The following is a 26,383-nucleotide window of genomic DNA, read 5'->3' as shown; positions in this document are numbered from 1 at the left end:
GAGGCTGACACATGAGAATCACTTGAACCCAGGAGGTGGAGGTTGCAGTGAGCCAAGATCGCACCACTGCAGTCCAGCCTGGGTGACCGAGCAAGACTCTGTCTCAAAAAAAAAAAAAAAAAAAAAAAAGTGCACATGTCAAAAAATCAAAATTAGTCCCTTGCAAGATAAACTTAGAAATTACCATCTCACTGTAATCCTTCTCCGATGTAGGTCAAAGCTGCCTTTTGCAATAAAATAACTTTATTAATATACAGATATGACTTAATATTTTTGAGTGCAAGCATTATGTTGAGACATGCAGAGAACAGGGAAAAAAACATGATATTCATTGAAAGGGGAGATCTTGTGATCTTGGAGGCAGGGAAACCTGCAACATTGTGGCAGGGCTGAATTTGCCCTCAGTGGAAAATTTCAAAAGTTTATTTTTACTAAAGACTGTGAATAAGGTATTCCATTAAAATATTAAAGATTTATTAGCTTGGTAAAACTGTCCATTATATATCCACATATGTATATATACACTCATATATTTACGTGTATTTATGTATATGCATGTATATATAAATATATTTATCTGTGTGCATATATACATATGTGAATATGTGTATACGTGCATATATATGTGTGTGTGTATATATATCTGTCTCTGTCTCCAACATGCGTTTGATGTGTTGTTCTATATTTTAGGGTAACTAATGCCATCATTTTTCATTCCTTTTTGGCTTTATGAGCTAAATGTTTACAACTATACTCTCACTGAGCTATATAATAAACGTTTCAGAGATATTAACGTGCCTCACTTTTGCAAAAGACACTTGAGAGAAAAAGGTATGTGGAAAAGCAGCCAGGAAACGTCCTCTTAGTTAGGACAAGCTTAGAGGTTTTCTTGTCTGTACACAGAATCTCCCTCAAGTAATTTTAGACTGTTTTGTGATCCTTCATCCCAATCCATTGTGGATACCACAGTGTCACCCTCTCCCCTAGCAGTTAAAGCTGTCTGTGTCTGTAAAAATAGATATTACCAGGGTTATCTGAGCCTACACTACGAAATCTAAAATGTTGTCAAGGGTGGTTTACATCTGGATCACCCTTAAACCTAGTGAAAACTCGTTAGGTTTAGTTTGTTGTGGAGTCTATCTGCGGCTTCAGTAAATAACCTTGTAGATAACCTAGATTTTGGTCTATCCCCTCCTTGCTTCAAGAGGCCATAAAAATAAAGATAAATGTTGTGAAAATGGAAAATATCCCCAGGCCAAAAAAACTTTTAGCTTTTCACTTACTTCTCTAGGCTCTCATTTCCCTTCAATTTGGACTTGAGTTTTTTTTACTACCTTCATTCAACTATCTTTATCTTTACATATAATCCACAAATATTAATTGTTTGTCACTAAGATATTGAACTGAATTATTTAGCTTGCATTGTCAAAAACAAATATGATTCAATGTATTTTAATCACCTGAATTATTATTCTCCTATTGATTATCAAATTTTCTAAATGTTGGCCAGTGGAGGCAACAATTGGTTTCTTTGTATGTTTCTGTGATCCCATTAATCTTTGATATCTCACTTAATTTTGTTCTCAAGAAGAAATCCTATTCCCACTTTCCCTTCAATTCTTCAGACTTAGAAACAGCAAATCTCTAAGAAAATTTAGTTTATATCAATGTGAAAACAGTGGTATTACTGACCAGTGTTTGGGCGTTAGAATTGTGTTTCACGCCAAGAAATGAAATTGTAGACCTTTTTGAGCAATAATGATTAAACAAAAATGTGCGACTACTTCACAAATATAAATTTACAAAAAGCATGCATAATCAGTTCAAATGTTATAGTGTTGCTATGTAAATACTTTCATTTTATTCTTGTAGAGAATTTTTTCTTTTGCTGAAAAGTCTTAAATACTAATATTAAAAATCATAGATTTCAAAATTCCTTTTCAAGGATGCAGATATGTTGATTTCTAAAATGAAAGTCAATTAACATGTTAACAATAACTTGCTGTTATTTAGATTTTTATATTCAATACATAATTAGATTTATTTCAAATACAAATACTTTCATGTACATATTTTGACATATTTAGACATTATGAAGCAAGAGTTATGTATTTTTTTAATTTTTAATACTGCACTATATGAAACAATTATGGTTCTTTCTCAAGCAGAAGCAACCAGGCATATATGGAAACTTGTTTGATTTGAGGGCTTAGGCGCAAAAAATATAAGATGAACTTGGAACATTCTGTGATGCCAGAAATTAAGGAAGCTTGCTGAAGGAATGATGAAGACATGTTGAAAGGCACCAGAGCCAACCTAAAAAAATCATCCAATGGCTGAATCTAGAAGGATTTGCAGAAAACAATAAATAACCATATTATTAGATTCTAATAAATAATATAAAATAAAATAAATGTTTTTGAATCTATACTGATCTAAATAAATAAAAGCATAAGTAAAAATAAATGAGAGAGAAGGGGCAGCTTTTCCTCGTAGAAGAATTTCAAATAATAAATGTGGAACTGAATGAAAAAAAATTGAAAATCACTATTAGTAAATGGTGGTATTAATTGTTGCCAGTAAGATCACTGATTGATGCTAAAATTAGTGGGCATTTTTTTAGGAGAAATGGGATATTTGCATACACTCAAAATATCTTCACCAAGATATGTATTAATTATGAAAAAAATGGTAACTTAACAAACGAGAAAACTGGCAGAAACACCTAATTGACTTAAAATCATCAGTCCTAAGACATATTGACATCGGATACTCCCTGCTATGATATAATACACTACGAACAGACTGATTCAGTGATAGTCTTGACAAAAATGCATAACTTTAATCTAATGACAAGAACATACCAGACAGGCCCTCCTTGAAAGAGATTCTGCACAGTAACTTGACAAGTATTCTTTAAAAGTGTCAGGGTCATTGTATTAGTCTGTTTTCATGCTGCTAATAAAGACATACCCAAGACTGGGTAATTTATAAAGGAAAGAGGTTTAATTGACTCACAGTTACGCATGGCTGGGAAGGCCTCATAGTCATGGTGGAAGAGCAAGGGACATCTTACATGGCTGCAGGCGAAAGAGATTGCTCAGGGGAAAACTCCCCTGTATAAAACCATCAGATCTCATGAGACTTACTCACTCTCACCAGAACAGGATTGGAAAGACCCGCTCCCATGATCCAATTACCTCCCACCAGGTCCCTCCCATGACACGTGGGAATTGCGGGAGCTACAATTCAAGATGAGATTTGGGCAGGGACACAGCCAAACCATATCAGCCATGAAAGACAGAGATTAAAGAATTCCCACAGATTGCAGGAGAGTGAGGAGACATGACAGTCAAATGCAAAGTGAGATCTCCAGAAAAGAATGACTTTAATGGCAAGATGAAATTTGAACAAAGTCAGGAATTTAGTTAGTAGTAAAATGATTAGAATAGTGTTTGTAATAAACTAAACTTTACATAAGTGATTGTAAACGGAAACATTTTTAAATGAACTTACTAAATATTATACATTTCCATGTGGTACAGCCTGAATTTTGACCACACTATACGTCCACTGGACTCTTCTTCTCCTGTCTGGTTTTATATCAGGGTAATACCATTCTCATGAGTTATGATAGGAGCCCCACTTTTCTTTCTTCAAGAACACTTTGCATAAGACTGGAATTTTCTTTTCCATAAATATTCCTTGAAAACTGTTTGAACTCTTTGGATTTGGAAGGGTAGAATATTTTAAAACATACTTGATTTTCTCTTTTGTAGATTTTGGTATATTTTTAATTATTTTTAGGAATTTTCCACTAAGGCTAAGTACTCAATTTTATTAGCACATAAGTGTTGGTAATATTTTCTAACTGTCACAATCTTGATACTATCTGTTATTTTTAATTTTATTCTTTTAAAATATTCAGGAATACAAGGATTTGAGTTTATCTTTTCTGTGTTAACCTTTAACTTAATTGTGGCATGGTCAGAATATTTAGTTGAATGTGGTTTATTAAAATGTATTTAAACTTGTGTAATAACTTAGTATTTGGTTAGATTGGATTAAATGTTTCATGCCAGCTCTGAAAGAATCTGTACTCTCTAAATGATTTATTCAAGTTGTATATATATATCTCAATCTAACCATCCATATATTTGTATTTGTTTTGTTAAATATTCCTTATATTTAAAATTTTTAATTGAAAACTCATTAATTGAAAAAAATATTGTGGCTGCATTTCCTATTTGCTCTAGCTTTGAGAATAGATACTAGTAATAATGAAGATTTTAGCAGAAATCAAATTTTATAAGACTTTATACACCAAATGAAATTAAACACTTAACATCAACAATAAGTGCTTTCATTGGGGCAGTGATATCATTTTTGTATTTTAGAAAGGTCACCTTTGCTAAGGAGTAATAAATTCATTTATTGAAGTGCCACTTGTGTAAAATTTAATTTTTTAAAGAGAGTTCTTGCAATCAACAGGTTAGAATTTATGATGTGCTGTGGTAGAATCATAGTGAACTATATTAAAAGAGGATGTGGTTATCAGGCAGAGTTGTGTCGAAAATCTTTCATAAGGAAGGAAAAAGTGTTGAGGTAGGAAAAGTTTGTGTGACAAAGCTAAAAGAGACCAAGATAATTGGATAGTATTAATTTGAGAGAAACTGACAGGACAGAGGATCTAAATTATGACGGGTCAGTCAGTGGATATTTTCTTTTAAGTATAATGGGAACAATCAAAGAGTTTTGAAACTCTGAGTAAAGCTTGATAATATGAATGTTTTTAAGGGGCAATGCGGCTACAATGTGGACTAAGAGTGTGTGTGAATTGATTTGATTTGGCCAAGCATAGGAGCTAGTAGACTAGGTAGGAAGCTTCTATACAATGTACAATACACAAATAATTTATTTTATTGTATAAAATAATATACAAATAATGATATGGTGGCTACTACACTCAGATGAACTCTTAGATAAAAATGCTAAGTGCCTGTTTTCTGTTACATTCTTATGTTCCATACAAATAAGTAAGTAGATAATAGAATGCCTGGTGATGACGGATGATAGGAGAAGTGATTGTGAGCACTACTTTTGATAAGGCTATTTTCAGTTAAGCTATTAATGAAAGCTCTTGAGGAGGTCCCCATAGAGCAGACAACTGAAGGAAGAGAACAGGGGAGCCATTAGAATATCCAGGGGACAGGTGTTCCAAGAAGAATCAGCAAAGGCAAAGAGAACCAATAAGATGGTAGCAAAGTAATGAATTGAGAGTTGCTTTCAGTGGTGTGTTACCGGAGATAGAAAAAATGAAGGATACAGGCTAAGGGACCAACTGCAGTGTGATGGAAACTGAGTTTTAATGATGCCTCTTAGGAAATGACTTCCAACATGTAGCGTATGTATATGCCTGTAGTCATTTGTTAGGGCTGCCACAACAAAGTCTTACAGAATGGGTGGCTTAAACCACACAAATGTATTTTCTCCCAATTCTAGGGACTAGAATCCTGAGAACAAGGTGTCTGCTGGCTCATTTTTTCTGAAGCCTCTCTCCTTGGCTTGGCATAGCCCAACAAACAGTCAGCTTTGAACAGTGTCATTTTCTCAGATTTGGTAAACTGCATTATGATAACATGAGGATAAGGGGAAGGAATTTTATGTGAGAGAAATATAGAAATAGTGATATAGGGGCCGGGCACAGTGGCTCATGCCTGTAATCCCAGCACTTTGGGAGGTTGAGGTGAGAGGATCGCCGGAGGTCAGGAGTTCGAGACCAGCCTGACCAATATGGTAAAATCCGGTCTCTACTAAAAATATAAAAATTAGCCTGGTGTGGTGGCAGGTGCCTATAGTCCCATCTACTCAGGAGGCTGAGGCACGAGAATCACTTGAACCCGGGAGGTAAGGGTGCAGTGAGCCAAGATCATGTCACTGCACTCCAGCACTGAGTGACTGAGACTCCATCAAGAAAAAAAAAGAAAAGAAACAAAGAAAGAAAAGAAAAGAAAAGAAAGAGAGAAAGCAAGAAGAAATAGTAATATAGGAAATTAAGTTTTGCCTAGAAAACTTTGAAAAGCCCAGTTTGGTCCATATCTTTCATGGAAGTGACTAAATGCAAAATGATATAGGAGAGACATATTCAGGCAAGACTGTGACAAGCTAAGAGGTCTGGACTTTATTATGTATATTAAGGAGAATTACTTAAGGTTTATGAGCAAGAAGGTGCTATAATCAGAGTGTACTTGAGGTTGATTAATCCATCAGAAATATGTAGTTTATGATCAGGTGCTGAAACATAAATCTCATTAGCAGTAGAGGTTGTTCATGCTGGAAGCACATCTAGGTACACCAAAAACATAAATTTTTGTGTTTCTCTGGAATGAAGGGGAGTTTGTCAGTATTGAGTGTTTTCACTCTGACACTGCAAAGGGCATCTATATATTTTTTCCACAGACTGTCCTTTGTTCCTGCTGTCACAAGTAAGAAATAGGATTCCTACCCATTATGGCTGATTTCATTGGATTTTGTAATGTTCTGCCATGCAGTTGAAATAAGTATGAGTAGTAAATAACTAAATATAGCATAGTAAAAACAACTACATAGAAACATTCAGTGTATATCCTGTGGTTTGTTGTGATTGTGTAAACACACATAAATACATATCTGCCCTCAAAGCAGATCTACGCAATGAAAAAATACACGCTTGGTTGGTGCGTGGCTTGCGTCTCTAATCCCAACTATCCCAGAGATTAAGATGGGAAGATAGCTTGAGCTCAGACCAGCCTGGGCAACATAGCAAGACACCCATCTCAAAAGATAAAATAAAATAAAATAAAGAGACAACATGCTAATATTTTTTAACTTTTATTTTAGGTTCAGGGGTACATGTGCAGGTTTGTTACTTAGGTAAACTTGTGTCACGGGGGTTTGTTGTACAGATATATATTTCATAGACCAGGTAATAGGCCTGGTACCCAGTAATTATTGTTTTTCTGATCCTCTCCCTCCTCCCACCCTCCAGCCTCAAGTAGGCCCCAGTGTCTGTTGTTCCTCTCTTTGTGTCCATGAGTTCTCATCATTTAGCTCCCACTTATGAGTGATAACGTGTGACATTTGATTTTCTGTTCCTGCATTAGTGTGTTAAGGATAATGGCCTCCACCTCTATCCATGTTCCTGCGAGAGATATGAACTCGTTTCTTTTTATGAACATACTCATTTTTAAACCAGAATTTGTCCTACTGTTAGGATTTGTTTCTTACTATTCATAATATGTGCAGACAAAAGCCCCGGAAGTTCCTAGACCTTAATGTTATCCATGTTATGTGTATTCATCATTTGTCAACATCTGATTTAGAGTTTAAGATCTATTATATTGCGTCTTACATGTTTTGCTTTTGGCTATTCTATTGAGAAATCTCTCTCTCTCTCTCTCTCTCTCTCTCTCTCTCTCTCTCTCTCTCTGTCTCTCTCTTCTTTTCTTTATACTTTACAGACACTATTCATCTTCGAGTTCTTGAATCCTCCCCAGTTGGCACAGCCATTGGAAGTGTCAAAGCAACTGATGCTGACACTGGGAAAAATGCTGAAGTAGAATACCGAATTATTGATGGTGACGGTACTGATATGTTTGACATCGTGACTGAGAAGGACACACAGGAAGGCATCATCACTGTGAAAAAGGTGCACAGCATCCATATAAATAAGCATCTGTGTGTTTCAGGAGTAGGGATTGCATTATATACTCTTCGCTCATGAATGATCCATTGGGAAATACTACTCTAATTTTCCAGCAATGTAATTTATACTGTGCATACATAAGAAAGACATAAAGCCAAAGAGCTCCTTGAAAATTTTGACCACATGTTTTGGTTGATTGAGACAGGAAACCTGAAACTTTAGAAAATATAAAAGGCAAGTTAATATATGTGTGATCATATTTCTAAGCCACATTAATAAAAGCCCATCATAATCACATTGTTTTATTTTAAATTGTGTAGTTAATACCTAATAATGGCAATATATCATCCCAGTTGGGGGTATAAAAAGTCCAATGCCATCTATCCAGATGATGAAGCAATAATTAGAGTTACTAATAAAAGAGACAGCATGGATTGGAACATAATTTAATTGTTCACATTTTCCCTTCTGCTGTATAAATTAAACTCTTCTGCTAACATATGCTCAGTGATACAATCTAAAGGTAACCTGTTTGTTATTGTAGCATAAGTGCCATCATTATGAGAAAAAAATAAGGCACATTAAACTTTAGGTCCTAATGAAATGCCATACATAGAGTAACTACACAAGCATTAGTTAATAATTAAACTATTCTGAGATACTTTTGCAAGGTACAAAGTACAAAACCAACTGTTATTAAATGGACAGTGACTAGCAAATGGGAAAGCAGCTGTCTTGTCATTTTTCAGACCAGACAGCAGCAGTAATACAAATAGAATCTTGTTCTTTTTGAAACAAAAATAAAAGGTCGAGGGAATCTGAACTAATAATATCATTTATCTGTTAACAAAACATACATTTCAGAATAGGTGAGATAGAAAATAGTTGATTTTATACTTCTGACAGTTAAACTATATGAATATTTAAGGTATTTTGTTTCAACATGTAACCTATTTACCAAATTACTATCAAAATTTTTTCTTATTACAGAGGGTTTTTCTTATCTTGAATATTGGACATAACTTGAAAGTTGTATATTAGTCTCCAAGATTTCATAATGTTTTTATAATATCATAAGCCCATTACATTGAATGGAAACATCACAGCATAGATGTAAAAAGATAACTGCATGTATTTACTTAGAAAAATTTAGCAGTAGCTAACACCTTTGCACGTGCACATTCACACGCAAACACATGCAACATCCATTAGCCCATTTTTTGTAATGGTACCACCTTTAAAATAGGTTTCAGCTTCCATCCCAATTTTTCCAAGGTTTAAAGTCTCAATTTCCTATGTTCCGAAGTTTTACTAATTGAATGCATAAAGAGTAGAAGTTGAATCCTAAATGAAACATGAAGATTATATTATTTGTGTTAGTCTTTTTTATTTATAATTAATGAACTATGTAAGAGAACTCAACCACAACTTAAAAATCATACTGTAACTGGGTGGGAGCATATCATCCAATTTCCCTCACTCTAATTTGATGATTTATTTTTTTATACAGCCACTCGACTATGAGAGCCGAAGACTTTATACTCTGAAAGTCGAAGCAGAAAACACCCATGTAGATCCCCGTTTTTATTACCTAGGACCATTTAAAGATACTACCATAGTGAAAATCTCTATAGAAGATGTGGATGAACCTCCTGTTTTTAGTAGGTCCTCCTATCTGTTTGAAGTTCATGAAGATATTGAAGTGGGCACAATCATTGGTACTGTAATGGCAAGGGACCCAGATTCTATTTCCAGCCCCATTAGGTAAGTGTGCCTTTTAAAAATGAAAACAGCCGGGCTCGGTGGCTCACGCCTGTAATCCCAGCACTTTGGGAGGCCGAGGCGGGTGGATCACGAGGTCAGGAGTTCGAGACCAGCCTGGCCAACATGGTGAAACCCTGTCTCTACTAAAGATACAAAAAATTAGCCGGTCTTGGTGGCACGTGCCTGTAATCCCAGCTACTCAGGAGGCTGAGGCAGGAGAATCACTTGAACCCGGGAGGCAGAGGTTGCAGTGAGCCAAGATCGTGCCATTGCATTCCAGCCTGAGCGACAGAGATGAATCTGTCTCAAAAAAAAAAAAAAAAAAGGAAAAAGGAGAACAAAATGTTGTTTAAAATGAAAAAAAAAAAAAAAGCAGTTGAAATACATATACAGATCAAGAAATTCTATTTAAAACATTTAATGCGATGGAAGATACAAGAGTCATTCCATAAGTTGTATACAAATATGGTGAGCACAGGCATTTCTAGTAAATTGCCTCTGAATGTTTTTGGGCCAGGGCATGCACAAGCTTCATGGTTTTCTTATTTTCATCATGCCCTTTAGACTGAAACCTTGCTTGTTACACCTGCCTGTCTCCTTACGGTGTTTATTGTTCTGATCCCTAGTACAGATCCAGGGTGCTATGTCAACTCTGCGTTTACATGCAACCAAACTACTTTATTTGTGCTTTCAAGTTATTAAATAAAATGTAAGGTTGAATGAGAGAAGTTTTAAAATTATAAAGTAGGCTGGATGTGCTGGTTCACACCTGTAATCTCAGCACTTTGGGAAGCCATGTTGGACATATTGCTTAAGCTCAGGGGTTCGAAACCAGCCTGGGGAACATACTGAGACCCTGTCTCTATAAAAAATTAAAAAATTAGCCAGGCATGGTGGTGCACACTTATAGTCCCATCTACTCAGGAGGTTAAGACAGGAGGATCACTTGAGCCCAGGAGGTCAAGGTTGCCATGACCTTCATTCACACCACTGCTCTCCAGTGACAAAGCAACACCCTGTCTTTGTAAAAAAAGAAAAAAGTAATTGCAATGCTGCAATGTGGGTTATATTATGATTTTAGAAACTCCCCTAATGCACAGCCATCAAAGTTGAGAGGTTTCTGTTTTATGTTTATTTATTTATTCTGCCTTTTTCAAAAAATATGAGAACATTCTAGAAAGATGAGTCTTTTCAATTCTTGTTTTCCTTCTTATGACAGCTTAAAAACAGATGAGATGTGATAAACTGAAAATGAAAAAGAATCAATGTTTCAATGACACTTGTTCTATTACTTTAAAGAAATACATATATTGACATACACTATTCAGCATGAAAATGAACACTTACTATAATCCATTAGTCCATTTTGTATTTTGGATTTCATTTGTTTTCTAAATCTCTGCAGGCTAATTTTCCTTGCTCATTTTCTATGTGAACCAGTCAAGTATGAGTTCAGATGGTTATTGTTCACTTTCTGAGCGCACTCTTACCTTTCTCCTACATATGCCACAGCGCATGCAGGAAACTTCTAATTTTATATGCCATATGACTTCAACCAGTTAAAAATTCTATAGGGTCTGCGATATCTTCAAGTGAAATCATGTATTTTATGAATACCTATGTTACTTTTTATTTCTATAATTTCACATAAATATGTTTTCTTATATTCACACACAGCATCACAGGTTACATATTGGCAGAAGAAACCTGTACATGCCAGCATGATTTTCCCATAAATGCCTCTTCCCCAATTCATTTACCAACAACTGTATTGCTGCATTCCTTGTGTTTTTTTTTCTTTTTCCTTTGAAAGTTTTATATAACCAATACACAGGCCTAATTTTCTTCATTAAATATTTACCAAGCATTTTCTTGGTAGAGATTCTAAGGTTTAGCAGGCTGTCTTCTGTGTTTCAGATTTTAAAATAGACTTTACAAAATAAAATATAATATTGTTATCTAAATGTATATCAAGTGGCATACTTAAAGTGTAATACCAAGATATTTCTCCACACAATGAAATAGAATTTAAATCCTCCTATGGACATATAATTATTATATGTCAAAATATATCTGTGGATATTTAAAATAAAATAGTTAATGAGGATGCAAGTCTAAAGACTAGGAGGAAAGAATCATCTTGTGTATATTATTATACATATTATATTCCTATTATGTATATGTATATTATAATACTCTTAGGTATAATATTATACATATTATAGCAAAAATAATAGCTCCCTTGCTTATCAATGACTGAGGGTATGCCATTAAGTTGCTGTATACTTTGACTTTATACTAATTTGATGTAGGAAATTTAATGAACATTCTTGGATGTCATTCTTTGGATAGAATATATATATTTAAAAAATATAATAGCCTTACTAATGCAATATGTTGTTATGGGAAGGATCATACTTGACATGCTATAAATTGTGTCATATCTTGTGAATGTTAATACAGTAATCAAAGGGATTTTCTTAAAATGTGTGTTCTGGAAATTATTTTAGAAAGGAAAATGGAAGTTAACACACATAACTTTCCAATACAGAATTGCAAACTATATACTTTGAATCATATTTGAAAAAGAGCTGTGATCTCTGTGTATCTGCAAGATAATGCCACATAATGTTCAAAATTTTGTCATTACTTCTTCATTCTGAACTACAAGAATTAATTCAGAAAGAACACACATGAAATGGATTTAGCAAAATCAGTGATGCATGACAGCAGACGCTTTTATTGATTTATATTTTTCAACTTTATGTCATATTTCTACAGAAGTAAGGAACCTTATTATTTGCCAAAATGCCAATTAATTAGGTCATTCTTTCTTTCATTTAACAAATATTTGTGGATCACCATATCAGATATTAACATGTTTCTCAAGGAGTTCTTAGTCTGTTAGAAAAGAAGACTCAGGATGATAATCAAATAATACTCATTGAGTGACTAGTAGACTTTGAGGCTTGGTGTTTTCATGTTTTATTGTCTGTTTGAGATGTGAGATGAAATTCATTCCTAACACAATGTGGTAAATGGAAAGATGGTGGTAAAATCTGCTTTATGAGTGAAGGAGACAAATGCTTCCACTTTACATCATCATGAGAGGCTACAGGGAAGAGGTGAAATTTATGTTAGATCTTTCGGTAATAAAATAATTATTCCAAGTGGAGAGACACAATGATTTTCTTAATACATGAATGTTAGATATGTAGTTGGATAAAGATAATGGGATCTATTTAAACTACATCAACCAGAATGTTAATCTAGTTTTAGGCTTTAAAATCATGCCCAGCGTACCATGCTGGCAATCAAGTTGCAGGATAGTTTGCTGTTGTTTTTCAAATGCATATAGACTTTATTTGATACAGATATATTAAAAACACAGATATATTAAAAACTCTTATCCCAAACTACTTTTCTTTTCTTTTCCTTTTTTTTTTTTTTTTTGACGGAGTCTTGCTGTGTTGCCCAGGCTGGAGTGCAGTGGCACGCAATCTTGGCTCACTGCAACCTCCGCCTCTGGGTTCAAGCAATTCTCCTGCTTCATCCTTCTGAGTAGCTGGGACTACAGGCACGTGCCACCACACCCAGCTAATTTTTGTATTTTTAATAGAGACGGAATTTCACCATATTGGTCAGGCTGCTTTTGAACTCCTGACCTCATGATCCTCCTGCCTGGGCCTCCCAAGGTGCTGGGATTACAGGCGTGAGCCCCTGTGCCCGGCCATCCAGACTTTTCTATTTTTAAAATATCTCAAGTTAAAAGCAATATGTGTAATAATGATACACATGGCTAGGAAACTGAAGCTACGTGGGTGTTATATCATGAAGCTGCTAAACACCATAATAAGTTGATAGTCTATTACTTTGATGAAACTAACATTGTCTCCAATTTTCTAAGAACAACACATAGCTTCTGGGAATAATCTTTTGCAATAAATCTTTGTATTATTCTTCAGCAGAACTTCCAATAACTGAATAAAGTCAGTTGGCAATATAGCTGTCTGTAATTCCAACTGTTTTGTGACCAAATATATCAAAGTCAGTTGAATGAATATGACAATAGACAACAATTTAAATAACACAAGGATTCAGAAGAATAGCATTGAAATGCAGAGCAGTACCAATTTATGCCTTGAGGAGAATGTGTGTGTGCAACTAGGAAAAGTCATTCAAACAATCTACATTCCAGATCAGCACTGTGTTCTTTCCTGTAATTATCAGTGATATGTGTGGGTTTGCATTTCACTATTTTTTCCTGCAAACTATTAATAATGCTGCCATGTATTTTTTCTTGCCCTCCATGTTCAGATTTTCCTTGGATCGCCATACTGACCTTGACAGAATCTTTAACATTCATTCAGGAAATGGATCTCTTTATACATCAAAACCTCTTGACCGTGAACTATCTCAGTGGCATAATCTTACTGTTATTGCTGCTGAAATCAGTAAGATGAATTTTATGTATCTAACATATATCTAGATATGTTTATGTTTATATATTTTATGCAGTTTAACATATTTTATAGGTTTTATTTTACATTAAAAATAATTCATTCTCATTGGACAGATGAATTTTAATTTTCTCAGCACTTACACTTTTTTTCAATATTTCTTACATCAGTGCATAGAGGGATACCTATACATATTGGTAGAAGATGCAAAAATTTTATTTCTGCCTTCTTGGGAGTTTTTGGCTGAGCCTCAAAATAACATTGACATGAAACAGATTAACAGGCCGGGCACGGTGGCTCACGCCTGTAATCCCAGCACTTTGGGAGGCCGAGGTGGGCGGATCACGAGGTCAGGAGATCCAGACCATCCTGGCTAACACAGTGAAACCCCGTCTCTACTAAAATACAAAAAATTAGCCGGGCATGGTGGCGGGCGCCTGTAGTCCCAGCTACTCAGGAGGCTGAGGCAGGAGAATGGCGTGAACCTGGGAGGCAGAGGTTGCAGTGAGCCGAGATCGCGCCACTGCACTCCAGCCCGGGCGACAGAGCGAGATTCCATCTTAAAAAAAAAAAAAAAAAAAAAAAAAAAAAAAAAAAAAGATTAATAGGAGAAAAGCATTTAATATAAATTTTACATGACACAGGAGCTCTCACAAAGAAAGACCCAATGAAGTGGCAAAACTGAAATGTTTTTATACTAGGATGACAAAGAAAGGCAATAGTGAAAAAGTAATTAAATGTATATGGAGAGCATAAATGAAGATAAAAATTTGTTAACAAAATCTGAATCACTTGTATGGAATTTTCTTGGCCTCACTTCCCATTTTTGATGATAAGAATGTTACTTTTCTTCTGGTATAGAGAGGACATCTTCTATATGGGGGTTTTATGTCCTGCTTTCAGGAAGAAAAGGGGAGGAGCAGAGCACCCTTCTTACATCTGCTGTTTTTCGGGATTTTTTTGAGTACCTTTAACTCAAAATAATCTTTATGCCAAAATGGCATATTTTGCCACCTTTCCGTATATATAAATGTATATTTAATATTAACTAATAAAAATGAGCTTGAATTATAGACTAAAGATATTATCATTTGTGGAAAAATTAAAAACATTAAATTTGTCACTTGCACACTAATAATTAGGATCTATGCTAAATGCTGGTTGCATATGATACCATTTAATCTTATGAACAAGCCTGTAGGTAGATATTACTACTTCTCTTTTACAGATGAGGAATCCCAGGAATATATTGTTAATCAGAGTTCACATTTAATCATATATGCCAGGTGTCATTCTAAAAAAAAGAATTTATTTTCTTCTAATATTTTTATTAACCTCATTTAACAGAGAAGGTACTAAGGCTCTGGGAACTTTAGTAACTTGTCCAAAGTTATCATGTCAGAGGTAGCACAACTGAGATTTGAAACCATGTCATTTCTAGATTCATTACTTAATTCCATAGCTAATTTACAAAATTTTATTCACTAAAACCTGATGGATTCAAACCACATTTGTCTCTAGTAATGAAAGTTCTTGCCCATACTAGGACAATTCATGGGGCCTATTGTAAAATGAAAATGTCAGGTGCTTGTTAAAAGTAAATTAAGAAATGTGAGATGGAGCATTAAAACATGCAAGAGTCTCTTTTAAGGGTAAGGCCCTGTGGAACTGCTTGGGTCACAGGCCCATGAAGCCAGCCCTGCCAGCACATGTACATGCAAACCTGTTCAAATTTGCTAATTCCCATGGTGTGATGTATGTGGTGTAGAGCAACTCTTGACCTGTTTTAAAATAAGCATTAATTAGGGACAGAATCGTTTTTAAAAATTAAGCCCATAAATTTTAGATCTGTAATACTAAGCTGAATCCACAAACACGTATCAAGGTCAAGTTATTTATTTGAAGTAACCACTACAGGCTTTGGAAGGCAAAGCATTGGATGGGGCCGAATCACCAAGTGTCCCAGAACAATTGAATTAGGCTAGACAGATCATCAGCAATGAACTAAAAGCTTCAGGACAAAGTAATAGATTTAGCGTCTTTCTTACATCTGCCCCTGAAATACAGATTAATTTCAAATGATCCATTTTTTTCATAGTGAGATATAAATATCTATTTATAGCCCCTTGTTCTCTCCATTTAATTGCTATATATGGCATATAAAAGCTCAATACCCTGTGGATTTAGCTTTTGATTTTAAGGCTAACTAAATATTTCCAAGTTTTTCTTCTAAGGAAAGCTTTTATTTCTATCTGTATCCACATCCCCATAGTTAGATGTACCTAACATGATCCAATCTGGTCATTTCAGAATCATGATTGTGCTCTCTGCTTGATTCAATATCCTTATTCAAGCCTAGTGAACAAGGAATTGCATTTTCCCTTACAGATATTTTGTGAGATTTAACTTCTAAAGCTAGTTGAAGTAATTACAGTTCTGTAAAAAGCTAAGCCAATTACTTCTTTTTTTAAAGGACTGAATCTTTTTTTTGTCCTCAAATAAAATCAATCTGTAGAACAACTGCCAAAAATGCCTACCTGCCAAACCACAAACAGCCAGGATCCCATTATTCTGTTCTGGGCATTAAATGCAACGAGGATGAGAGGGAAACAGCATACAAGGAATTTTTTCTACTAGACTTTAAACACTGACTTTACAGTCAGTGTGTCATACATCACGCCCTGAGCAGGACACAATGACGTTCAAATGTACTTCTTACCAATATGTTTTAAGGCCTTTCTTCTAATCATTTAATTCTACATTCCATACATACAAATATATCACATCATATGGCAGGCACCACTCCAGGTAATTATTTAGTGCATCATATCACGGAATAACTCCTCTTTTTCTTCTTCAAAAATATTTTAAAATGCTATGTGGGAGCCAGGCGCGGTGGCTCACGCCTGTAATCCCAGCACTTTGGGAGGCCAAGGCGGGCGGATCACGAGGTCAGGTGATCGAGACCATCCTGGCTAACACCGTGAAACCCCTTCTCTACTAAAAAAATACAAAAAAATGAGCCGGACGTAGTGGCGGGCACCTGTAGTCCCAAGCTTACCGGGAGGCTGAGGTAGGAGAATGGCGTGAACCCGGGAGGCGGAGCTTGCAGTGAGCGGAGATTGCGCCACTGCACTGCAGCCAGGGCGACAGAGTGAGATTCCCTCTAAAAAAAAAAAGGCCATGTGGAGAATAAAACATCTAAAATTAAGGTCACAATCAATGACTTAATAATAAACTTGGGATTTTAGGGCATATTTGTTATAGACACCAAAGAGCTCCTCTCACTACCTCTGAAAATTTGACTTTAATCATTGCAATACATTCTGTGGACAATAGAACTAAGTTTATGACTAAAGAACTCTATTATCCACACCGTAGTTCTTATTCATAGAATTCTTACCCAAAGCAGGTAAAACAGTTATATTTTTCTAATGTCTGTGATTTCTAGATAATGATTTAAAATTTCTCTCTTTGGAGGCATGAAAAGGCCCATGGATGCATCGTCATGGCTTCACCTTAGGACATACATTTTAAGATCCTTTATTGCTGATACCTTCTTGCTATAGTAGTGTTTCCCTGAAGAACTTTGAGAGAAACTCAGGTGGTAAATATATGCCAGCTGCTATTCAGTTTGATTCTTCCTTGGAACACTTTATACTCTTATTTATACATAAGCGACAGCATCTGCCAGCCAAAAAATTAGTGTAAGCACTGTTTTTTGAATAGGTAGCTCCAGGCTCGATGCTTTACAAAGCACATTCATCCCTGTGGATTTAGCTTTTGATTTTAAGAGCCTTGAATTATTTGTAAAGACCCTGGAGAATCTCTATATTGTGTTAGGGAAGGGGCTGACGACGGAATTTTTTAGTTATGAAAGTTTTGTCTCTCCTGTCTCTGTGGCATCATTAGAAAGTGAATTGTTACCAACAAGGGATATTTTTATGTCAAGACTTTATATTGAAAGGAAATATTTTGCTTATGTCCACTCACTATATAATTAGGTTAAAGAGCACATTCCAGAAAATATGGAAGAAGCATACCTTCCCACTTTTCTCCATAGCAACAAGTAGATAGCAAAAGGTCCATTTGTAGAGAACCCCATGGCTCTGGGTATTAGCAAATGGTCTGGCATAGAGGAAGTGGAAAATAATGAGATAGCATTTTTCTCCTTTTTATTTTCCCTCCTCTCTCCACTTCTTCTCAAATGCATACCTCTTCAGACTCACTTGAATGGTAGAAAGGCTAATTAATGTATTTTTATTAGGTGAATACTTTATGTGGAGAAAGCATAAGTTTTTAAGTAACATAAGAAAGTGAAGAAGATATAATAATGATAATAAAGATGATGGTAATGATTATAGTCAACGCATATTGAGTCCTGATCATTAAACTGATACTTTCATAAGAAATTTTCACGCATTAACTCCTAATTTTACAAGTAACTGTGAGATTAGAGGTTCTACTTTGATTTATATTGAGTAAACCAAGACATTGAATATGTGGAGTAAATTGGCCAAAGTAACATAACAAATGAGTGGTGAACTTGGGAATCAAAGCAGCAGCTATGTTAGACCCCAGGGCCTGAACGCTAAACCTCGTGGTACACGAACAAGTGGATAATATGCAACAACATATTAGCAAATAAGAAGTTAGAACCTGACGACTGAATCCATGTGGGTTCAGAAGACTGCAGTAAGACTTAAAAGGATTGGTGAAGAAAGGATGCATTTTAAATTTTCTCTTGCAAAAAGTGATAAATACACTTCGATTCTGTCTGCCTTTCTTTATTCTCGCTCAGCCTTGTAAATATATCCCTGCTAAGCAGTCTGTTCTTATATATCATTTTTTAAAGTGCTGATTTTAATATTGGAGTAACATTCAATTATATGGAGAGAACAAGGGGATATAAATTATTTTTAGTAGTAATATACTTCCTATTTGTATGTGACAATATATTTTACCTTTGTATCTGAAAATTATTTAGATTACCTTAAGACGTCAGATAAATTTTACAAGGCAAAATGATATCCACAGCCCATGTTGGTTGAGACCATTTAATAAGGTTGCTGCTGTCCCCTAGCTATTCTGCTATTGTTTTGTTTTGTTTTCAGCTAATTATAGTCTTTATTGCATTATATTGCTCTTCAGCTTTACTTTTCCAAAATGTACACAGAAGTTTAACTGTATCCAAAGACTGAGATATTGATATCATAAAATCTGATGAATGTAAACTGAATTTAAAATGTAAACATACTCTCAGCCAGCATAAGTGCCTAGAAAAATCTATAATAGGAAAAATGCAATTATAACCAATACAGGGTTGTTACTCAAAGCTAAGCTAAATAAAGTGGTATTTATATTTTTATTAATTTACATATCAAAACAAGTTTGAAAATGCATCATTTTTTTTTTTTCTGAGATGGAATCTCATTCTGTCACCCATGCTGGAATGCAGTGGCACGATCTCAGCTCACTGCAACTTCCGCCTCCTGGGTTCAAGTGATTCTCCTGCCTCAGCCTCCCAAGTAGCTGGGATTACAGGCTCTTGCCACAACACCTGGCTATTTTTTGTATTTTTTAATAGAGATAGGGTTTCACCATGTTGGCCAGGCTGGTCTCGAACTCCTGACCTCAAGTGATGCACCTGCCTTAGTCTCCCAAAATGCTGGGATTACAGCCACGAGCCATCGTGCATGAGCCAGCCAGAAATGCATCTCTTTATGTGAGAACTTTGATGCTGTTGATTTCAGCATTTATAGCAAAAGGTATGATTAGTATGCTATTTCTTACTACTGAGCTAATTTGTGACAATAGATTGTAATGCAAAATTGAGCTAGAATGTTGAGATGGTACCAGCAATAACTATATTAATAAAATATGTGAATCTTCATATTTCATCATAAATTTCCCAACTAGTTTGTAAGATAAGTAGCCATATAATAAAATTTTCAAACAGAAATTTGACAGCAGTTGTTGAAATACATTTTGGTGATAAAAGTAGTCACAGACATAGGTTTTATAACAGTTACCACTTACGAGCGAAGGACCTTAGATAAGTTACCAATTTATTTAAAACTATTTCTTCGGGCAACCCGCTCAGGTCCCCTTCCACGCTGTGGAAGCTTTGTTCTTTTGCTCTTCGCAATAAATCTTGCTGCTGCTCAAAAAAACAAAACAAAACAAAAACAAACAAAAAAAACTATTTCTTCATCCAAAAAAGGTTAAAAATTAAATGATATAATTATAATGAAGTATAACAAGGATTTAATAAGTAAGTGTTCTTATTTTATATATTTGGACAATAAGGACGCAAATATAGTGTGAACTCAATTATACTGGCTTGTACTTTTAACATGATTTTCCAAAATAATAATAGTACCCTTGTGCCCAATAATAACTGAATTCATGACTACTTAATTAGGCTCTGCAGTAATTTTCTTTATTGCATTTGCTCATTATATTAGTAGAATGATTGCAATGCTTATTTGTATGTGAGCACTTCATACCCACAAGATGCCTATATAAATTAAATTTGATGCACCAATTTATCTTCCTAAACAATATTTTTCTTCCCCTTTTCCAGACAATCCCAAAGAGACAACACGCGTGGCTGTTTTTGTGAGAATTTTGGATGTTAATGACAATGCCCCACAGTTTGCTGTGTTCTATGACACTTTTGTATGTGAAAATGCCAGACCAGGGCAGGTAAGCCCCTACAGGATTAAAACTCTGGAAAGATTTTAACTGTATGCAAAATATTTTCTTTTCAAAATCCTGAGAGGAAAGAATACACAGAGATGGAAATACTCATATAGAGTCCCAATATAATTTTTAAAAACCATAACTGATGTTTTTAAAGGTGAAAATATTTTTAAAACCATATACCAGTTTCATATTTCCTTTGTAAAGTTCTAATGTGTGAATAAAATTTTATTGTTGCCACAAAAGTTGAAGCATAAGAAAAAATAACTACTTTCAAAATTTTCAAAAACAAAGACAAGCAAACCCCTAAGACCGCCTGCTGTGTCATTAAATAAATACTGGTACCTGCTAGAGAGATGAGAGACGAATGCTGTGGAAAACAAGAGACAAATGTATGGGAGCAGCAGAATATTTAATCACTTTTCTGATGTGTGCAGATACGGTTTTGCATCAGGGCAGCAGAATTTCCTCCTTAGACTTACATATTGCATTTCATCATTACAGCAGCATATGAAGTGCTTAATGACTTGGTTTTAGTACTTTAAAACATTTTTTCTGCATCAGCTTTGTTTATAATTCTGTAAGTCTTTTCCTCAGTGGACTCATTTTGTTGATTGAAAAGCTCCAGTGTATGTGAATGAAAGAGAATGCTCTTAATTGGTTTGAGTGCTATCTTCACAGAAGGAAGCTGCGTGGTATAAATAATAATTGGGAATCAAATGTGTTTATTTAAAAAAAGGAACCATCACGAAACTGTATTATGTTTTGACATTATTTGATACTCTTTATAAACATCAATGTCATTGTTACATTTTTATGCAAATTATATTGTGGAATAATTCAAATTCTTCCTTTTGAAGATTCTAACAAGAATTCAATAGCCTGTCTGTTGTTTGAATATGGTAAAATTGCTGCAATTTGATTCATTTTTTTTAACTTGAAAATGTTATGGAAATGTTTAATTTGGAATATTTAAATGACTTAGTTGCTTCCCACTTACTACTTAATGAAACAGTGCACGCCCCAAAAATACCATTCCAAATCGTCCTCTGCTTGGCAGGCTCAGCATGATATAAGCTGAAGTCTTTTCTCTAAGAGATAAATTACCCACTTTGCTACTGCTGCATACATCGCTCCCTCTATGGTTATTCTATTTGATTTTCAAAAGATATCTTTTCAGAGCACTCAAGTCATTATAAATACTGATTTACAAATGTATTCAAAATATACAAAATAGAAAGTATGTTTGTTTATTTTCCTTCTGTCTATTTTCTTTTTCACTATAACTGGCTCACAACGTCTCCATACCTTTTGGACATTTAAAAAACAGCTGGTGTATTGAAGGAAAATAATCAAAAGATGATTTCAATAAAAAGGGAATTAGCCTATCTTGACCCACCTGATAGGAAGAGGATGATTAATATTTTTTGTTGAATTGGCTGCCTGTGCAATAGCCTCCCATACAGGCAAATTCTAATAAGACCAGTTTGTTAGATGTCACTTCGGTCTCATAGGCTGAAAAATGCCTCGGTTAAACTAAACTGTTATATATTAAGGGATGAGATTCTAGGTTATGACATCCTAGCAGGCAAAATCAAAGTGGTAATTTGATAAAATTCTTGTTCAGAGCCTTTTTAAAATTAATTTGTTAGCTCTGACTCTCCTTCTCCTAGGAAAGCAGAAGAATGTCAGGGTTCCTAGGTGTGCTTTAGTTACTTAAGGTATATCTCAGTCCACCCAACACTCCTCTGAATTAACTGCTCTTTAAGAGTAGCACTTAGAACACCGACATGGACAATTATCCATTCATTTGGTTGTGGACAAAATGAGGTGACAAATAAAACTAATGACCATTCCCTGCTCTTGCCTATTTTCTGATCTAAGTGTAGAATTTCTCCTTGGAAATGTTGCAACTTTTAACTGATGTAATATTAGTAGTCCCCTCGTGTGCCTGAACTAGGCTGCTTGACCCTTCACCTTTTCCATCTCAGAGAGAGTCAGAGGACCTCAGCAAAAGACAGGACAGAGGGCTAGCTGTTTTTGTTTTTCATTCTATCTTGTCTCATTCATGCCTACTCCTGGAGTCAATAAAATATATTTTAAGTAAATAAAATACATTTTAATGATTTTAATCTTCATGGAAAGAATTTAATACCACAGATTTCCCAAGGAAATCTGTATATGCTGCTTATATTTCCCTTCAATAGTATCTAAATGACTTATCAAACCACATGTCAACTAACAACAAATATGAAACCAAATGACAACTAAGCCTTTAAGAAACCAAAAATATCCCATTACATATTTTCCATAGAAAAAGCTAAAACATATGAAAACTTAACCAGTTTTGTCACTTTAAATATCTTAAAACCCATTCATTGTTCCAGACACCATAATAATATGATCACTGAAGCATTCCTTAAGATTATTTCAGAATAGCCCAGTGAAAATAGAAATCAATTCTATGCTTATTACTTCCCTAACAACTGAAAAGGGTTCAAGGGTGCTTTTTTTTTCTTTTTCTTTCTTTCTTTTTTTTTTTTTGTTTGAGGAAGATGCTCCCTGTTGCCAGGCTGGAGTGCAGTGAGTGGCGTGATCTCGGCTCACTGCAACCTCCGCCTCCTGGGTTCGGTTCAAGTGATTCTCCTGCCTCAGCCTCCCAAGTAGCTGGGACTGCAGGTGCGCACCACCACGCCCGCCTGATTTTTTGTATTTTAGTAGAGGCAGGGTTTCACCATGTTGGCCAGGATGGTCTCGATTTCCTGACCTTGTGATCCGCCCACCTTGACCTCCCAAAATGCTGAGATTACAGGCGTGAGCCACGGCGCCTGGCCAAAAGGGTGCATTTTACTAGCACAAAGGAAATGTTCTCATTAACGGAAACTCCAAGGCTTCCCATAGAAAAAGCTAAAACATATGAAAACTTAACCAGTTTTCTAACTTTAAATATCTTAAAACCCATTCACGGTTCCAGACACTGTAATAATATGAACACTGAAACATTCCTCAAGTTGATTTAAGATTATTTTAGAACAGCCCAGTGAAGACAGAAATCAATTATATTGTTGCTAAGGAGATAAAATGTAAATGACTTCTCTGTGCACTTTTCTTCAAATGCTCAAAATGAATACTGGAAATCACTAGTTTTTGTTTGTTTGTTTCCTAATTATGGCAAACTTTTTTATTGGAAATGGACCAAAATGAGTTTGTCTCCAGAACAAAAACAAAACAGTGGATGCTTATAGAAAGAGCCAGGGAAAATAATTTTACCTCCTTGTTGCCAAGTTCTGATATCTGTTACCAGTCTTTACGGCACATTTACCAAAACAAAAGCACTGTGATTTTTAATATATGGTTGAAAATGGAAAGGAAGACTAGATTGAGAGGTAAATTCAGGATATGAAGAAATTGAACACTAGAAGTAATGTCTTAAAGGAAAAAAAAACCTATTATCTTGTAAAGGATGTAAGTGCCTCCATCTGCAGTAGCGAAGTCTTAAGGTCATAAAAATATACTGTAATGTAATATAGATTCTGCAACACATCATTCTATTTTGTTTGTGTCATCTCTATGAGTTTGGCTTACCCCTTTTATGATATTCAAAATGTATAAATTAACTACTGATCTTTAAATCAATAGTGCTATAATATTTGATTAAAATACATTTTAATTAAAGATTTTAATGTTAATTTTTAAAATTTATTATAGATATATGTAAAGATGTCACTATTTGTTTTCTGAACTGCATTATTTTGATCTGTAAAAATAAATTGAAATTATACTTTGTAAATTTATTTTAAGGGAAAATATACAGTTGGAAATGTATATTTATTTTGAAACATTTGAGTTTCCATTTTCAAAGGCCATTAGCCCTATTTTTACATTTCGGTCACTTTTTGTGTCTGTATGTGAATGTTAAAATATTAATCTTAATGACTAAGGATTTCTAGTAGTCTACTGTCTTTTTTGATGTTATTCCATTTATGTCATTTTTTCCTCTTCAATATATACTTATAAATCATTATTTGAAAATGACATCCTTAAGAGTACATTTGACAGACAAGAAATCAGTCAAGAAATGTTTTTTCACTGAATTGACACATCTTAAGTAGTATTAGTTAACAATATTTTGACTTTATTAATTTTAATAGATTTATATTCTTGCTTTTTTATAATTCTTGCTTACATTTAATTTTAAGTTACAATTAAAATTTAGTCAAATAATTATGTTGCTATGTTTTTAAAATGTACTTTTGAAATAATTCAAAGTTTTAAATGATGTTTTTCTTGCTGCTTATTTCTAGGCAATAAATATAAATCTTTGGTCCAATTATATTTCTTGTATCCTTTTGAAATAAATGGTTAGGGTTGTAATTAAATAGATTGCTACCACAAATATATCACATTTTCATTGCTCTAAGACATTTTAAAAGAAAAGTAATCTAATACAGATAGTTGTAATAATTTCTTTATTTCTTGTGATTTTTGACATAATGTTTTTAACTTGAAATCACTTGTTTAACCAACAAGACATCAACAACAAATATTTTCATCCAGCATCCACACAACATTGAGTTAACGCAGTAAAAAGTGTATTGCTTTTAGTTAAACATAAATTTGACTATGTAGGCATCAGTGTACATATTTAACAACTTTTGAGGCCATCTTCAAAATTAAAATATGTAAAAAATATACAAATTGTATTATAAATATAAGTTAAAGAACAAAAGGAAGATAGGTGCAAAAAAACCTACCTATTACATATATATACATCATACATACATATTTGTATATTAGTTAATCATATCATATGTCCAAAGCAGTGATCTGATTATATATTAGGGGCTAAATTGTCTACTTTGCTACCATATAGCGTCTTATGTTTTCTCCTACCGTAAAATCAATCAGAGTTTACCCTTTTAAAATAATTCACACATATTATATATGCTGAATTTTTAAAATACAATTTTATTGAAAGTGTAAGTTAATTGAACTTTTACTCTCAAGGTTTCTAATAATGTTTAAGACTCTGTTAAAAAGTAATATATAACATTACCTATAAAATCTCTACATTCCTCGACCATTTTTCATTTTATTTTTGGGGAAAAACAAAGCATAGTCACAATAATTTCCTAAATTTTTCTGACATTCGAAAAACTCTTCCAGATCAATGTGTAAATGCATATAAAATAATCTCATTTTAAGTGCTATATCTAAATTAATAAAACCCTAAATAATATATTTTTTATTTACCATTTTGAAGTAAAGGGTATGATCCAAAAGACACAGAGATGAGAGAGGGAGAGATTATTAAAATCAAAGTAATACTAAAAAGATGGATTAACTCAAGGATACATTCACATGAAATAAAAGTCAATTATTTTGAACAACTTCAGACAAAATGAAGATCTTAAGTGCAGATTATACCCATGGATAAGAGATATATTGATGAGATATATTTTTCTTTTTCTGCAGCTAATACAGACTATAAGTGCAGTAGACAAAGATGACCCTTTAGGTGGACAGAAATTTTTTTTCAGTTTAGCTGCTGTCAATCCAAACTTCACAGTACAGGATAATGAAGGTAAATTTTAGAACTTGTTCACTATGACTTATGATGATATTAACAGGAAATTTCCCGAGTGTAACCATTGCAATATATATGCCATATCAATTTATTGATCTGAGTTATACAATTTTGTTTTAATCAAGTATTTGATATATTTAGTAAAGCCATCTTTGGCAATGTGTACTGTCTTCAATTTTAAAA

The 26,383-nt window shown here is 34.2% G+C and overlaps 1 protein-coding gene across 5 annotated transcripts in view; it reads left to right on the top strand.

Annotated features, from left to right (window-relative positions):
* The window catches only part of CDH10 (cadherin 10), a 157,879-nt gene that overhangs the window by 125,965 nt on the left and 5,531 nt on the right, over window positions 1-26,383 (top strand). For 3 of the 5 annotated variants that reach the window (NM_001317224.2, NM_006727.5, XM_011513923.3), the window contains 5 exons: window positions 7,500-7,687; window positions 9,195-9,448; window positions 13,766-13,902; window positions 20,495-20,616; window positions 26,089-26,197. In NM_001317224.2, the coding sequence (NP_001304153.1) occupies window positions 7,500-7,687; window positions 9,195-9,448; window positions 13,766-13,902; window positions 20,495-20,616; window positions 26,089-26,197 (810 nt within the window). The remainder of the gene's footprint in view (window positions 1-7,499; window positions 7,688-9,194; window positions 9,449-13,765; window positions 13,903-20,494; window positions 20,617-26,088; window positions 26,198-26,383) is intronic. The other 2 variants (NM_001317222.2, NM_001362460.1) reach the window with 2 other exon arrangements.

The sequence above is a fragment of the Homo sapiens genome, chromosome 5 (assembly GCF_000001405.40).
Source record: "Homo sapiens chromosome 5, GRCh38.p14 Primary Assembly".
NCBI lineage: Eukaryota > Metazoa > Chordata > Mammalia > Primates > Hominidae > Homo > Homo sapiens.
Note: the sequence above shows the minus strand (reverse complement) of the source record. Positions and strands in the feature narration are given on the sequence as shown.